The sequence below is a fragment of the Homo sapiens genome, chromosome 18 (genome assembly GCF_000001405.40).
Source record: "Homo sapiens chromosome 18, GRCh38.p14 Primary Assembly".
Lineage (NCBI taxonomy): Eukaryota > Metazoa > Chordata > Mammalia > Primates > Hominidae > Homo > Homo sapiens.
Window position 1 is genome coordinate 3,165,338 of NC_000018.10, and position 17,863 is coordinate 3,183,200.

The window sequence follows — 17,863 nt, forward strand, 5'->3', positions numbered from 1 at the left end:
ACTACAAGCCGAACATGATTTCATGATTTGTATAAAATTCAGGATGCCTGTTTATGTATTCTATTACTGTATCTTCAATTATAAGTGGTAATTTTAAAACTGTCTTCCTTGTTAATAATAGGCTTATCCAAAGTTTCATATGAAAATGTTCTTTTCCATCAAATGCTACAATCTTTAAATGTAACTTCTAATTCTAAGCCTCAAAACCAGAGATTCAAACCTCCTTGAAGAATTCTAATAACTGCCTTATGTGCTTTATTGCAGTGTCTACATGTACACTTTTATTTTATAATATTTTAGTGACAAAATTTACTGTCCTATTGCCAGCAGTTCCTGTCCCCATGCTCAGGCCAGGAGTTAATATTTGTGCAGATCCCACAGAGCTGAGTTCTGGGGAAGGCCAGGCAATCTGTCCCCACACTGTGTGTCCCTATGCTGCCTCCATGCCGAGCCCCTTCTCTCCTCTGCAGCCATGGGACCCATCACCACTGCTACTGCTGCTGGTGCCACCACCATTGCTAATTCCAGTCTGGCCTTAGGTCCTGGTCTCTTTCATCACCTTGGAATGCCATGGTGCCACAGACTGCCCCAAGTGCTCATGTGCACAACTGAAGACCACACCTGCAGCTTGGTGCTCACACTGCCTACTACCCACTGCCCACTGTGCCCAGGAGCCTGCACCTACATTTGTCTGCACTGCCATTCCCGTATTTCCTCCGATCATGTGCATGTGCCATAGTCCCACTGGACTCCATGTATAAAACACAAGATCAAAGATAAAGTGATTATGAACTTCAAGGGGTGACAGCAGAGCATTAAATGAAGCCCAGATCTCTTGGTCCTGTAAAATGGCACCATTCACAGGCCCAAAAAGTCAGCTCTGGAGAGGAGCTATATTTCAGTCTGATCTCTTTCTATCTCAAGTCTTTTTTTTTTTTTTTTTTTTTATTTGAGGCGGCGTCTCAGTCTGTCATCCAGGCTAGAGTGCAGCGGTGTGATCTCAGCTCATTGCAACCTCCGCCTCCCGGGTTCAAGCGATTATAGTGCCTCAGCCTCCTGAGTAGCTGGGATTACAGGCATGCACCACCACGCCTGGCTAATTCTTTTTTTGTTTTGTTTTGTTTTTTTAGTAGATATGGGGTTTTACCAGGTTGGCCAGGCTGGTCTCAAACTCCAGACCTCAAGTGATCTGCCCACCTCAGCCTCCCAAAGTGCTGGGATCACAGGCCTGAGCCACCGTGCCCAGCTCAGTCTGATCTCTTTCACTAACTAATTATGTAACTTTCAGGGAAATTACTTAACCTCTCCGTGCCTTTGTTTTTTTACCTGAACAAAATGGAGTTTGAATAATAAATAGTCATACAAATAATAGTAATAAAGGACCTTATAGGACAATACCGCAAGGCATTATCATTTACTACTTTTTCTTTCATTTTTCTGTATTTTTCCAAAATTTATTTTCTAAAACAATTAAACAGAAAAATTATATGGTAATCTTACTAGTACACTACTAAATATGTCTGGAATTTTAAAGTTTTTAAGAGCTTTAAAACATAATCGTCTCTATAAATAAACCTAGAGAAAACTTTAAGATAAATTAAAAGGGATGATGAAAGTCCCTAGGCCTTATTCATTGCTCTCTCCATGACACATCTTCTGTTAGCTAGGAGCTAGCATGGGCCTCGCAGATATGTATGTACGGGCAAATTCAATTTCTTAAATTTCAATGCTTTTTTCAATACCTAGGCATAAAGGGAGGCAGACAAGTCAGAGAAAGTACAAGTTTTCTCAGGAGGCTTTTTGTCTGTGTTAGACCTAATACAGACAATATAAAAGGAGGCACATGGTAGTGAAAAGATGTCCAGGCTTAGAGTAAACACCAGCAGGTCTGGAGGTCTCCCGTGGCAAGGATTTGACTGTGTGATTTGGGGCAATCCCTTATTCTCTTCAGACAGTTTCTATATCTTGGTCTATTCTATGAGATACTCTAGTATAGAAACTTAGTGTATTTGGACCTGAGATTTATTGTTATTTTATTTTATGTTTTTTGTTTTGTTTTGTTTTGAGATGGAGTCCCGCTCTATAGCCCAGGCTGGAGTGCAATGGCGCAATCTTGGTTCACTGCAACTTCTGCCTTCTGAGTTCAAGCGATTCCCCTGCCTCAGCCACGCAAGTAGCTGGGACTACAGGTGTGCGCCACCACGCCCGGCTAATTTTTGTATTTTTTGGTAGAGACAGGGTTTCACCATGTTGGCCAGGCTGGTCTCAAACTCCTGACCTCAGGTGATCTGCCCACTTCAGCCTCCCAAAGTGCTGGGATTACAGGTGTGAGCCGCTGTGCCCGGCCTATTGTTATTTTAGAAATAGCATTATTTTTCAAGTCCAGTGCTTCAACTCATCAACTTGTTTTGATAGCTTCTTCATCTTGTTTTGCTTTGACTGGGTTTTATCTGGAGTGTTACTTTAAATATACTTTAACCCAAATGGAGTTTAAAAAGGGGAAATTAAATCCTTATTTCTTTCTCACACCAAACTATCATGGCTCTAGGCCCTTTTGAAGCAAAGTGAGATTGAATTGTGATTTAAAGCCAGAGTCAGAGGAACTGACAATGGAAGGATTTTCTTTCTGTTCTACCAGCCTGTTATAATATGATGTAAAACAAAAGGATCATTTTATCTATTTTTGTGTCCTTCAGGGACATCAGTAGAACTTGGATATATTGCATGCAGAATACACTTATCAAAAATTTCAAAATTATAAAAAGCCTTTAATACGTTAAAACAAAAGTGCCAGAGTCTGAAATTCTTCTGAATGTACTCTTCTGGTTAATTAATAATAATATCAGGATTTTATTGTTTCATAAGGTTATGTTTTTTAAAGTTACATACCATTTTTATGGTATAAATAAGTCTATGAGGATGGGTATTTTACCAAATGGATTAACTTACAAAATGAATATACTTTTTTTTTTTTGAGACAGTCTCTCCGTCGCCCAGGCGGAGTGCAATGGCGCCATCTCCACTCACTGCAACCTCTGCCTCCTGGGTTCAAGTGATTCTCCTGCTTCAGCCTCCTGAGTAGCTGGGATTACAGGTGCACACCACCACGCCTGGCTAATTTTCGTATTTTTAGTAGAGACAGGGTTTCGTCATGTTGGCCAGTCTGGTCTCAAACTCCTGACCTCAGGTTATCTGCCCATCTCAGCCTCCCAAAGTGCTGAGATTACAGGCATGAGCCACCACGCCCAGCAGAATATACATTCTTTATGATTCTTTCCACATCTTACTTGTTAAAAGGAAAATATCATCTCCACAAATATGAAAGTGTTGCTACTTTGCTACACATGTGAAAACCTTTTAATCGTGTAAAGGTAGTCCCTTCTAACTTCCAGATTCCACCAGCTCCGATAAACAGATCTGCAATCTGGTCTACAACCTTCGAATAAGAACCTAAGTGAGCATTCATTGTAAAGACTCACCGTTTCTGTACCACTGGATCTCTGGCTGGAAATGTTTAATTTCAGGAGTGATGACAACACGACAGCCTAGACTCATTGTCTCTCCCTCTCTCCCAAAAGACACATCAAATTTGTCATCAAAGTGGATCTCAAACCGGGATGCATAACCATATGGGGTCACACCAACTGGGTACAAAAATAACAAATATCAGTAATTTTTTTCTTCATCAAAGAGACACAAGCATTTTAATAAGCACAGGCAGAAAGCAGTCACAGCAAAAAAAAAATGAACAAATGAGCAAATGATTTAACTGGGTCAAAATGAAACCGTACATAAGAAGTATTTAGAACATATGCATATATCATTTGTATGGAAATTCTTACTTCATTGGTTATATAAGCTAAATGCTTATTTTTATTATTGTAATGAATAGAATTTAAAGGGTCAGGTTTAATGTCTTCAATGCAAATTAATACCACATTTAGCCTAGATTTAAATCTTTAGCTGCAACATATGCACTTTGTAATTTTAGATGTTGAGTTAAACTCTACTGCTTGTACTCTTGGGACAAAATAGCCATATCCATTATTCATAAAAATGGCGTTTTTCATCTGACAAGGGATTAATAACCAGAATTTATAAGAAGCTCAAAGTACTCAATAGCAAAAAATTCAAGTAATCCAATTTAAAAATGAGCAAAAGATCTGAATAGACGTTTCTAAAAAGACATACAAATGGCCAACCGGTATACGGAAAAATGCTCAACATCACTAATCATTGAGAGAAATGCAAATCAAAATGACAATGAGATATCATTTCACCCCAATTAAAATGTATCCAAAAGACAGGCAATAACGCTGACAAAGATGTGGAGACAAGGAAACCCTCTTACGCTGTTGGTGGGAACGTAAATTAGTACAACCACTATGGAGAACAGTATGGAGGTTCCTCAAAAAAATAAAAAATTTCCATATAATCCAGCAATCCCATTGCTGGGTTTATATCTTAAAGAAAGGAAAACAATATATAGCAGAGACATCTGCACTCCGATGTTTATTGCAGCCCTTTTCACAATAGGCCAGGATGTGAAATTAACCTAAGTGTTCAACCATGGCAGAATGAATAAAGAAAACGTGGTACATATACTCAATGGAATGTTATTCAGCAAAAAAAAAGATTGAAATCCTGTCATTTGCAACAACATAGATGGAACTAGAGGACATTATGTTAAGGGAAGTAAGCCAGGCACAGAAGAACCGATATCATGTGTTCTCACTCAAATGTGAGAGCTAAAAAGAATTGAACCCATGGAGATAGAGAGTAGAATGATGGTTACCAGAGGCTGGGAACTGTAGTGCAAGGGGAAATAAAGAAGGGTTAGTTAATGGGTACAAAAATACAATTAGATGCAAGGAATAAGATCTAGTCTACAGTTAATAATTTATTGCATATTTTCAAACAATGAGAAGAGTGGAATTGGAACGTCCCTAATACAAAGAAATAAGACATGTTTGAGATGATGGATGCTCCAATTACCCTGATTTGATCATTACACATTGTATGCTTGTATCTAAATATCGCATGTACCCCATCAATATGTACAACTACTATGTATCCATAAAAATAAAAATAATTTTAAATTAAATAATTTTAATGGAGTTTTAAAATAAGTTGCTTCAGTTTCTTTAATGATCTGAGTGATAAATATTATAAGAAATGTCCACAGGAGAAAATGGAAAAGTTTAAAATATTCTAACTTTTAAAAATATTATTCTCAGAAATATCTTATTTACAGATTGAGTAAATGCAGCCTGCGTAATCAACTCTCCTAGGCTTTATTTCCTCTTTTCACCAAAGAAAGGACTTGGGAAAGAAACGACTGTTTATTGATGGGTTATTACATGCCAGACACTTTCACATTTGACATATCATCAATCCCTTGCAACAAATCTATGCCGTAGATACTATTTTCTTCCTCTCTTTCAGGTGGGTATATGGAAGTTCACAAAAGTAACACACACCTAATGCCAGAATTTCACAGGTAGCATGTGTGAAATTGAAATTCACACTCATAACTTCTCGACCCCAAAACTTAGGCCCTTTCTCACATCTTTTGTCCCTCTTCCTAAGACTTCTTTCATTACACTTGAAAATGCAAGCTGACATTTATTGAGTTCAACTTTGACCAAGTATTGGTCCAAGCATTTAATACCCCATATTAACAGAAATCCCATAATAATGCTATTAGGTAAGTACCACTAATATCTGCATTTTATAGAAGAAGAAACTGATGCATAGGAAGGCAAAATAACTGACCACATTCCCCTGCAGAGCCAGATTTGCACCGGCTGGCCGTTTCTGTGCTCTTGGCCAATACATTGTACTGTCTTGATTTCGTGTGTTCCCAGGTAACCCTAATCAACAGTGAAGTAACCTCTTTGGAAGCACATCTCCCATCTGCCTCACTTTTTTTTATGTGTTGATGTTCACTGAGACCAGAGAGAGAAACAACTTGACAGATCTTGCACAGCGCTGGGAGGCTGGGCTGGTTCCAGAGCTGCCTTAGGGGGTAGAGGTGAGGGCTACCGCCAGATGTTCCAGACTCAGCTGGAAAGGCAAGTAGGTCCCCTAGAAACGGACCTAACTTCTAGGTTCTCTTCTGTATCTGAGATTGGACTGCACTGTCTGCGATAACTTTGGGGTTCAGTAGGAGGCACCCCAGTTTAACAACCAGAAGACAACACATCATTTCGTTGTCACGTCCTCAATCTTTTATCACATGTACTTACTATCCTGAGAAAAATGGTTTAGGGCAGGGGTTGGCAAGTCTGTGGGGCAAATCTAGGATGTCTCTTGTTTAGACCATTAAGAATGGTTTTTGCATGTTTTAGTGGTTGAAAAAAATAAAAAGAAGTACAGTATTTTGCGATGTGAAAAGTCACAGGAAATTTAAATTTCAACGTTCATAAAGGTTTTATTGGAACACAGCCATGCTCATTCATTCTCCTACTGTTACGGCTGCTTTTGTGTTACAGAGGCAGAGTTGAGTGGCTGTGACAGAGACCATATGGCCCACAAAGTCTACAATATTTACAGTCTAGTCCTTTACAGAAAATGTTTGGTGACTCCTTGTTTGAAATAATGGTTTAGAATTAAAAAGACCAGGTTACACATCCCTATTCTACCACTCTGTGTTCTTCTCTAAACTGTTTCCTCATTGGCATAGCGCAGATAGAAATGCAACTACTTCATAAGCTTCTGGGAAACATTAAATGAATCAATGTGTATAAAAAAGTCTTAGTACATTGTCTGGCAGAACTGATCAATAAATGTTAACTATTAGAAAAAAAGAGCAGAGAGCTTTGTCTGTGATATTTACCAACATTCCAAGCACCTAAACCCCTACCTAGCACATAACAGGTGCTTAGTAAATATTAACCAAATATGTGAATATAAGCACTCTGTTTTCTGTTAGGAACAACTGCATTCAATTCGGGGGTCATCAGAGAGGAGGCTCTGTAAGATTTAGCAATAAGAGAAGTGAGAGTGAGTTGGGCTTTCAGTCCCCGCCTTGACAGAGAAGAGAGGAAAGGGAGAAACATGGATGATGATACAGTTGTGGAGATGGGCAAGCTACATTCAGAGGATTGTGACGTGATCAATAGGCCACTCCTGGGGACACTGGGAGACAAGTCATAGGTTCAGAATTTCCAACTATTCTTTTTTTTTTTGAGATGGAGTCTCACTCTGTTGCCCAGGCTGGAATGCAGTGGCGTGATCTCGGCTTACTGCAACCTCTGCCTCCCCAGTTCAAGCGATTCTCCTGCCTCAGCCTCCTGAGTAGCTGGGATTACAGATGCCCACCACCATGCCTGGCTAATTTTTGTATTTTTAGTAGAGATAGGGTTTCATGATGTTGCACCAGGCTGGTCTCGAACTCCTGACCTCAGGTGATCCACCCACCTCCGCCTCGCAAAGTGTTGGGATTACAGGCGTGAGCCACCGTGCCTGGCCCCAACTATTCTATCTCAACATAAATCAAGAGATGGGAGAAGAACATGATTCGGGATGTGCTTCTCTGTTGCTCTACCAGTCATCCCTTCTCACCCATGGGGCTGATGCCAGTGATCACAACTTGGGATATTAAACGAGAAGCCATTCCATGAAATCAGTGGAGCAGGTCAGCCACAGACATCAAGCTAACCAGCCAGGTGAAAAACTGCTATCAGCCATTTTCAAAACTACCACTAATTTTTTAATGTTTGAAAACCAAATTAGGGCTTGACTACCTTTTTTAGTCTGACCACTGTAAGTATATAATTATTTCAACAACCATAAAGATTTTACTTTTATTGCTTCTCATAAATAGAAGTTCTGATGTAAATGAAATGACTGACATTCACAAATTTGTAAATTACTACTGACCAGAATATTTTTAATAGGTTTTTATTTAATCATATTTAGACTTCATTTTAGATTGTACTTTATAACTTAATGCATTTATTTATTCATTTCATTATTGAATACCCACTCTGTGGCAGGCCCAACCTTGCCTTCAAGTGGCTCATGGACCAGTGAGAGAGACTGACACACAACAGGTAACAGTGTACAGCCTCACTGACGCTCCGATGAGGTGCCATGGCCTCACCCAGGACACCTAACCCTGACTGGGTAGGGTGTAGGGGCGGCAGTGGGGGTCAGACCTGCTTTCTCAAGGAAGTGATGCCCATCTGGATATTTAAGGGTGAGAAAGAGCGCTTTGATATAGTCCAGACTCGTGTGTGTGTGTGTGTGTGTGTGTGTGTGTGTGTGTGTGTGTGTGTTTGGTTAAGTCGTTCTGCCCAGGTTTGCATAATGATCTTTCGCAGTTTAACCCAGAAAGATGTAAAAACATTTGCTATTTTTAGCCCATCATATCTGGGCTTTCATAAAACCAGCACAAAGCAATTCGATTCAGAAAGAGAACAGTAACCAAAAAATCTAAAAAAATAAGTAAATAAAATAACCACAGGTACCTACTACATCCAACCTAGCATATACTATGTTATATATAGTATGCATTTATTTCAGCATTATGGGCTAACTTATTATGCCATATTTTACATAGAGGTGACACTTAGTAAATGTGTTTTTAAACTTACAGCTGAGGGGCATGGTGGAAGCCCCAGCGTGGAAGCGAGTCTCATCAAACTCTCCCTTATACCCTAGAGAAGAAAACAGAAACGCATGTGAACTGCTTTGTGATCGATTTATTTTAAAACCATGGGAAGAAATTTTTAAAAACACACACACACTTTGAAGAAAACAAATCTAGCAAACCTACTTTTTACCACAACTGAAGCATATGCCGAAAGCTCTCCTTTAACATTCATCGCCGAGGCCCGGTACTGAGCTGTATCTTCAAAATCACATCTGAAAGAACAGACGGAAATGAATATCCATCGTAGTGACAATCCTTGTAATTACTAGCTGTTCTATCAAGGAACTCTTTGCTATCACAGCCCCCTGCAAATCAGTGGCTAACACATGGCTCTTTGGTTCTCCTGGTACAGCTATTTGTCTCTGATCTAGCTACCTGTGGGATATTACCTAGTCCAAGTGATCTACTGCAGTTTCATGCCAGCAGCATAGACTGGGGAGAGAACACCTATAGTTCACTGTGACCCTAGCCTGGGTTCATTTAAAATGTCAAAAAAAAAAGTCAACCAAGTGCTAGGCACATAAATTATAGAGTGAACAGCATTGTGATCCGCTTACTTGTCTAAAGTTGCATTGGGAGGAGAAAATGTGCAGGCGTGTACCTTTGTAGCAAGTAACTACCCAGAGGCACACTGGAGGGCGTGGCTTTCCTGCTGTCCTGCCCTTGTGGTGGGTTTCAGTCTGGGGGCAACCAGGAAATAGGGAAGAGAAAGAAGCAGTCCCTCCGTGTAGATTCCCACAACCTCCCTGAGCCACGTTGGTCTATGTGTTCTAGCTTCAAAGCTCATCTAAGTTATTTACACTTCATTTCCACTAAGGTTCAGGCCATACTTGGAATTTCAGCTCACAGCACACAAGAAGCGCCATTTGGATGTTCTTCTAAGTTATAATACAGAAACTGGAATTCTTATAAAAATGGACCATTAGGGAGAGAATGGTTTCATGGAGAGATGAAGAGGCTAAGGTTTCAAAGCAGGTTGTTTTATGTCTTATCATTACCAGTTTCTCGTGTTCTTCATTGTTTCTCGGGGTTTAGTTTCATTTGTGTAAATTTTTTTTCTTGCTGAAATTTTACAGACATCAATAGAACCCCAGCAAGGCAAACACAGTTGCCCTTCTCATAACTACTTAATTTTGAAAGTAACCACATAGCTCACTGTTGCTTTAGCAGAACCACCCACTGGCAGAACTGACCTGACTTTGGGTCAGGGTCAGTGCCTGGCAAATGGCACAGGGTCCTAGCATCATTTGGCCAACTCCTCTGATCTGAGGAGAAGGCTATAAGTCTCCTGAGAATGAATGGTATAAATTTCACCTTGACACTTAGGCACATCATGGTTTTATCTAAACTGAAAATTCTGGGAACTTGTTTAGCTTTTCATTGACCTAATTAGGTTTGAATTTCAAAATCATCTTGGGAGGCAAAATAAACATTTGGGAACTTAGGAATTTTGATGTAGGTTTCGTTTTCAAATTTTGCTTTGGATTTTACTTTAAGCTCAAACATCTCAATGTCTAGCCTGCTTCACATACACAGATTGACAGAGTGCATACTTTCCCATGGTTCCTGGCAAGCTGAAGGAAAGAACATTATCTCCAAGTTTAGCCCACATTCAATGCCACCTACCCGGATCTCCATGGCCTTTAGTTATTAAAAACAAGAGACTGTGATGATGATATTGATTTGGGACTCTGAAATGATTACTGAATATAAATGCCTCTTTATGCAACATATTTTTCTTACTTACATCTAAGAAAAATTCCCAAGTATATAAAAAGATAAATAAAAACATGCAAATTGGTTTTTTTCTCATCATCTTTGACCGAATCCAAATATAAAATCACTTTGGGAGGTAGTGTGGGTATGGTAAGGATCAGTCATACATATCACTTTCAGGTGTGCACCCAGAGAAGCACCGTATACGAATGTCCCTCAGTGTGATCACACAGCATTGGGATGAAGTGGGGAGAGTGGCTGTTAACTGCAGGGGTGAGAAGCCTCCCTGAGCAATGGTGAGCAACACATGGACACTAATGTTCTCTTACCCATTAATCTCCAGAGTGTGCATCCCATATCGACTCTCAATAATATACTTTCCAGGGTTTGCATGGACATTTATTGGCACCTGGTTTTTATACCTATAACAGAATGGAAACAAAATGAAGTAAGTTGAAGTGTAAACAACTTCATGATTAAACACACACACAATTCTTGTTCTTGCAGGAACATCTGTAAACAGGGCACTGAGGGTAGCAGCAGCATCGATTAAATAAATGTAAATCATATTGGCTTACGTGAAGTGCACCAGCAATACATCACACTTCTTGATGAAGTGCTTTCCCCTCCTCTATAAACTTACATGAAAAATGTTGACGATTCACAGCAATATGGCTGAATATCATGTAACATAGTTACCGAAAAAAGCCAGTTACAAAACAGTGCACAGCAGAATGATTGCTTTTATATAGAATACAAAAACAAAAAACTAATTAATGCTACTAGAAATCAGTAGTGTGTTGGGACGCAAGAAGGAGGCTTCTTGGGTGTCAATAATGTTTATTGATTTGGGTGTCAGTTACATGGGTGTGTGCAATCTACAAAAATTCACTAAAGCAATTCATTTGTAAAAGTGTGCAGTCTTTGGGAAGCCGAGGCGGGCAAATCACTTGAGGTCAGGAGTTTGAGACCAGCCTGGCCAACGTGGTGAAATACCATCTCTACTAGTAATACTAAAAATTAGCCAGGCATGGTAGCACACACCTGTAATCCCAGCTACTCAGGAGGCTCAGGCACAAGAATTGTTTGAACCCAGGAGGCGGAGGTTGCAGTGAGCTGAGATTGTGCCACTGCACTCCAGCCTGGGCGACGGAGTGAGACTCCATCTCGAAAAAAAAAAATTTGCAGTATATAATATGCACACTTTTTGTGTGCATGTTATATTATAATTTAAAAGGTTTTAGGCCAGGCATGGTGGCTTATGCATGTAATTCCTGTAATCCCAGCACTTTGGGAGGCTGAAGTGGAAGAATCACTTGAGGCCAGGAGTTTGTGACCAGCCTGGGCAATAAGCAAGACCCTGAATCTACAAAAACTACAAAAAATTAGCTGAGTGTAAACCTGTAGTCCCAACTACTTTGGAGGCTGCAGTGGGAGAATAGCTTGAGCCTGAGAGGCTGAGGCTGCAGTGAGCTATGATCGCACCACTGCACTCCAGCCTGGGCAACAGAGTGAGACCGTGTCTTAAAATAAATAAAACAAACAAACAAATAAGCTTTTTAAAAATAAATAAAACAAATAAATACATAAATAAGCTTTTTAAAAAGTTGACCACTATTGATGTAACAGAGAGGAAGGCTTTCTGTTGGGGGTTTTATTGCTGGCTATCTGTGTAGGATGAGAGCAAAACATTCTTCCTGCTAACATTCTTGCATGTTGTTAGAAGCAATATCATTATTATTATTATTATTATTATTATTATTATTATTATTATTTGAGACAGAGTTTCACTCTTGTTGCCCAGGCTGGAGTGCAATGGCATCATCTTGGCTCACTGCAAACTCCACCTCCCGGGTTCAAGTGATTCTCCTGCCTCAGCCTCCCCAGTAGCTGGGATTACAGGCACCGGCCACTACGCCTGGCTAGTTTTTTGTATTTTTAGTACAGATGGGGTTTCACCATGTTGGTCAGGCTGATCTCGAACCCCTGACCTCAGGTCATCCACCTGCCTTGACCTCCCAAAGTGCTGGGATTACAGGTGTGAGCCACTATGCTCGGCCTGCAATATCATTGTATTGAACGATCATTATATTTAAGTGTTTTATTCAATGTCATAAACAAACATGGCTCTTGCCTTGGAAGAATTTATAATATAAATCATGAAAGGAAACTTCTGACAAGTAAGAGCTGAAAGCCTCCCTTTTTCTGACTGTTCCATATCTGGTTAAGCCTCACAGCCCTCGGAGAGTGGACTACGCAGGCGGGCCTCTCCCTGGGACCCTGTCTTCTGGGTCTGTACGTGGCGCCTGGATTCTTCACCACTTCCTCATGTTCTCAGTAGCCAGTGGCTATGGTGCTGGACCAGGCTTTTCTACTTAAACCATTTTCTGCCCAAAAGAGGAACTGGGTTTCACTTGTTTCCCTTTCAGACAGCCCACTTCGCACGCACAGATGACGTCAATAACCCTGATTAACATAGCTGACACAGAGAATTGACTATGAGCCAGGCAATGCTCTAAGCGCTTTATGCATACATTGGTAAGTTCAGTTCTCACAACCACCGTATGAGATAGTGCTGTTTTTAACCTCATTTTCCAGATGAAGAAACCAAGGCATGGGGGTTTCAGGAACTTGCCCAGTCACACAGCCAGGAACAGCAGAGGAGGGATTTGAACCGGCAGCCTGGCTGCTGACCCACATGATGCTTCCATTTTCCAATTGTTCTGTCTGCATTTCATTTCTTCAGACTTGTGGACACGATCATAAGGAGGTTTGGGAGTAGGGAACATGATGGAAAGGGAGAGGAAGGAAGAATACTGGCTTCAGTCAGCTCCTTCCTTTCCCCAGCTCTCTCTCTCACATACACATACACCCCTCCGTCCCTAAAGCACGTTATTCATTTTCTACACTTAAAACAAACAAACACTCTCCTCCATATAACAGAACCCGAACTCATCCTTCAAGATTCAGATCAAATGCAACTTCTTCAATAAACTCTTCCCTAAAATATGACACAGTATGAATCGTTCCTGCCTCTCTGCATCAGGGTTCCTTGCTTCAAGTTACTAAATATAACATTTATCAAAATTATGGTTGGATATGTGTCTCTTCTATTATGTTGCCAAACCTTTGAGGTTGGGATTGTGTCTGATCCACATTTACTTTTTTTTTTTGAGACAGTGTCTCGCTCTGTCTCCCATGCTGGAGTGCAATGGTGTGATTATAGCTCCCTGCAACCTCCACCTCCCAGGCTCGAGCAATCTTCCCACCTCAGACTACCAAGTAGCTGGGACTACAAGTGTGCACCACCACACTCAGCTAATTTTTTCTATTTTTTGTAGAGACAGGCTCTTGCTATGTTGCCTATGCTGGTCTTAAACTCCTGGGCTCAAGCAATCCTCCCACCTCGGCCTCCCAAAATGCTAGGATTACAGCCATGAGCCACTGTGCCTGGCCTGATCCACATTTACTTCTATTCCTACTCCTGAGGAAGAATGAGTCATGGGCAAACAGCAGGCGCTCAGAATTGGTTAAATTTGGTTGAACAGAATTAGCACGTAATGCAATAGATTAATTGTAGCTTCATAATTTTTTGTCTGAGAGAACAGAGTTCTGACAAGCATATATGTCATGATATGGATGATTTTATTTTAAATAAATAGCGATGAGGTCTCACTATGTTGCTCAAGTTGGTCTCAAATTCCTGGGCTCAAGCGATCCCCCTGCCTCAGCCTCCCAAAGTTGGATGATTTTAAATAAATGCACACGAAGAAAGTAAGTTGACAGTCTCAGTTCCCTCAGATGTGAAATGGAGAGGGTGGGACTGGCTTAAGAATCGCAGCTGTGTGGCAGGTGCAGCAACATAACCTTCTCCAAACACAGAAGACCCTGCAAGTTGATGCAGTGCTATTTCCTGCCAGCAGCTTCAGACAGCTGTCTCAACATGGCTCGAGCAGACAGGACTATCTGATCAGAGATGGCCTGGAAAAAGAAATCCACTGGCCACTTCTAATCTCCCGCATTCCCCGTTTAGATGAAGTACAGGGTAGAACATGTTAATTGGCATGCTCTTCTTCTATAATTGGTTTAGGTAATTTCACACTGGACTCAAGCTCACTCTGGCTCTGCTCTTTCTTGTGCTGGAGGGTTTTCAGTGGTTCCTCTTTGCCTAAGAAAAGCGCTGTGATACCAACGGCTGTGACATGTGCTGTTTGACCAAATGACTCAGTGACACTCAATTCGGCTTCGGATCAAAAGTATTGCTCATATCTCTATAAAATTTTCATTACAAAGTATTCTGCAGGTCAGCAGTGGCAGTTCATGCCTGTAATCCCAGAACTTTGGGAGGCTGAAGCAGGAGGATCGTTTGAGGCCAGGAGTTCGAGACCAGCTGGGTAACATGGCAAGACTCCATGACTGTAAAAAATGAATTTTTAAAAATAAAATAAAAAACTATTTTGCAGCTCCCATAGTTGCTTCACCATCCTTTCTTTCCATTACTACTCAATTTAGCACCCTAATACCTTTTCCCCAGCTAACAACTTTTCTATTATCACCACATGGCAAGAGAAATGGGTTTAAAATACACACACACCACACATCACTTTGACTGCAGAGCTTGTAGTCTTTTCTCTGGAGCTCCAGATACCAATGTGAGAAATTCTTCATTTAAAGCGGTGGTCAAGGATTAAGTCAGAAAGGTATTTGATTCTATTCTCCAAAGAATTCCACCCAGTGAGGCATTTAGGTTTGCAGTCACTTGAGACTGGCTATCTTTAGCTTTAAGTCAGGGAAGAAAAGAAGGATTTGGGGCCTGTTCTGTATATACTTCACAGCTTGTTATTTCTAGAACATGAAATTCCAAGCTGAGTAGTCATCGGCTAATTTTGGAGGTTAATCCACACCCTGGGATTACATATCAAAAGCTTTCTTAAATCCCTGTGAATATTCAGATGTATACTATCTCCCTTATCATTTTTATGTAATGTCTATGAATTGCTAATGAGCTTTCAGTATACTATAAGTTTTTCCAGTGACATTTCCTTTATGTGTGTAAAACACACAATTCTCCCAGACAAATGTCAGTTTGGATGTTGGGCCGAGTTTATAGTATGGGGTCACAGTAAAAGCTCTTTGGCAGTGTAAAGCATGATCAAGCAAAAGACTTCACAAAAATTATTTTCTACCCACAAATAATGCACACCGAGATGATCTTTTTTTTTTTTTTTGAGACGGAGTCTTACTTACTCTGTCACCCAGGCTGAAGAGCAGTGGCACGATCTGTGCTCACTGCAACCTCCGCCTTCCGGGTTCAAGTGGTTCCCCTGCCTCAGCCTCCCAAGTAGCTGGGACTATAGGAGCGTGCCACCACGTCCAGCTACTTTTTGTATTTTTAGTAGACATGGGCTTTCACCATGTTGGCCAGGCTGGTCTCAAACTCCTGACCTCAGGTGATCTGCCTGCTTCGGCCCCCAAAGTGCTGGGATTACAGGCATGAACCACCACGCCCGGCCAAAGATGATCTTTAATATACTGAATCTCACCACAAATGAGATTGCTGCTTATAATCCAACCTGTTTTGAGTAAATCACTCTAGACCCACTTTAAAAACTATCTGAGAGAGATTGAGAGAGAGAGAGAGATCCCATTGGGATAGATTTTGGAATTAAGTAAATAAGAAAAATCCAAAGTAAAACTCCAAATCCTTATGTTGGAAAACTGTTGTAAATTGTAAATAATTTGTGTTAACCATTTTAAATATAAGCTGTTTTTTCTATGATAATATGGTAGTAACTGCTAAATTTGAATATGTGATTAATAATTCTAATCTTGAAAATAAACTCAATGCATGATTCTATTATGAAATTTACAAACCCTCATAATTTGTGAGAATAGAAGAGTTTTCTGAATCTCTGCCTTTGTAACTATTTTATTCCTAGGTTTTGAATTATTATAATGGGCTTAATGACACATTTCTTTAAGTATCTATTTGACAACGACCTTTGGGTGAAACTGAATAATTTTTTTTTTTTTTTTTTTTGAGACAGGGTCTTGCTCTGTCCCCCAGGCTGTAGCGCAGTGGTGCGATCTCACTCACTGCAACTTCCACCTCCCAGATTCAAGCAATTCTCCTGCCTCAGCCTCCTGTGTAGCTGGTACTACAGGTTCCTGCCACCACACCCGGCTAATTTTTGTACTTTTAGTACAGATGGAGTTTCACCATGTTGGCCAGGCTGGTCTCGAACTCTGGACCTCAGGTAATCCGCCCGACTCGGCCTCCTAAAGAGCTGGGATTACAGGCGTGAGCCCTCGCGCCTGGCTGAAACTGAAGAATTTTAAACATGTATTATAAATGCTTTGCTTGAGGATCTAGTCCAGTGTCCAACATATAGATATGAAAACATGAGTGCCGAGTGAGTGAATGACAGGTACACACTGATACCAACACATTGCTCCAATGAGTTTTCCTGATCTTCCTGCAGGCTACAATCAAGATTTCCATGGACAAATTCAATCTAGGCTTCAGGCCAGAAACCCAAATGAATCCTGCTCTTTAAAAAGTATGCCTGTCATGAGGTGAGGGGAGGGGGAGGGATAGCATTGGGAGATATACCTAATGTAAATGACGAGTTGATGGGTGCAGTACACCAACATGGCACATGTATACATATGTAACAAACCTGCACGTTGTGCACATGTACCCTAGAACTTAAAGTATTATAATAATAATAAAAAGTATACAATTAACACTATTCTCTCCTTTTAAAGAAAACTTTTTCCTTCTCCACTATTTCACATAATGTTTAAAATCTGACTAGGTAATACGTTTACATGGTTCAAGAACCAGAAAGAACTAAGGGTGCACAGTGAACCCTTCCTGGTAACTTCCTAGAACTTTTGTCCCTTTGACAAGGCTCCCCCTCAGGGTCAATAGCTTTTCTTGGGTTCTTCCATATCCTTCCAGAATTTCATTATGCAAATAAAACAAAAACAAACATAAATGCTTTTTTCTTCCCCCTTTAAACAGAAAGACTCTTATTATACAAGTTATTACATAAATGTACCCTATTAAATTTTAAAACTTTAATTTTTTTCACTACATATGTATTTTCCCTTCTATGTCGACAGAGTCCTCCTGCAGGATGGCCAGCTTCACGGTAGGGGTGCAGCAGCATCCTCTGCAACTAACTTTTCTTTCTTCTTTTTTTTTTTTTTTTTTTTTTTTTTTTTGAGACAGAGTTTCGCTCTTGTTGCCCAGGCTGCCTGGAGTGCAGTGGCGTGATCTCAGCTCACCGCAACCTCCGCCTTCCGCGTTCCATCGATTCTCCTGCCTCAGCCTCCCCAGTAGCTGGGATTACAGGCATGCTCCACCACACCCGGCTAATTTTGTATTTTTAGTAGAGACAGGGTCTCTCCATGTTGGTTAGGCTGGTCTCGGACTCCCGACCTCAGGTCATCCGCCCGACTCGGCCTCCCAAAGTGCTGGGA

General features: G+C 40.7%; 1 protein-coding gene across 7 annotated transcripts in view, besides 2 other annotated features; it reads right to left on the bottom strand.

Annotated features, from left to right (window-relative positions):
- MYOM1 (myomesin 1) overlaps nt 1-17,863 on the bottom strand; it is a 180,570-nt gene that overhangs the window by 98,531 nt on the left and 64,176 nt on the right. For all 7 annotated transcript variants that reach the window (XR_935071.3, XM_047437910.1, XM_047437911.1 and 4 more), the window contains 4 exons: nt 10,705-10,797; nt 8,783-8,871; nt 8,601-8,663; nt 3,480-3,644 (listed from right to left, as the gene is read on the bottom strand). Coding sequence is in view for 6 of the 7 variants with exons in the window: in XM_047437910.1 (XP_047293866.1) it covers nt 3,480-3,644; nt 8,601-8,663; nt 8,783-8,871; nt 10,705-10,797 (410 nt within the window). In the remaining variant the exon portion in view is untranslated. The remainder of the gene's footprint in view (nt 1-3,479; nt 3,645-8,600; nt 8,664-8,782; nt 8,872-10,704; nt 10,798-17,863) is intronic.
- Nucleotides 12,463-12,582: an enhancer, noted in NCBI's record as "active region_13038". NCBI's record gives its function as "activates an Ori minimal core promoter by ATAC-STARR-seq in GM12878 lymphoblastoid cells {active_cell/tissue: GM12878}" and the evidence as "EXISTENCE:reporter gene assay evidence [ECO:0000049][PMID:35858748]".
- Nucleotides 12,603-12,992: an enhancer, noted in NCBI's record as "active region_13039". NCBI's record gives its function as "activates an Ori minimal core promoter by ATAC-STARR-seq in GM12878 lymphoblastoid cells {active_cell/tissue: GM12878}" and the evidence as "EXISTENCE:reporter gene assay evidence [ECO:0000049][PMID:35858748]".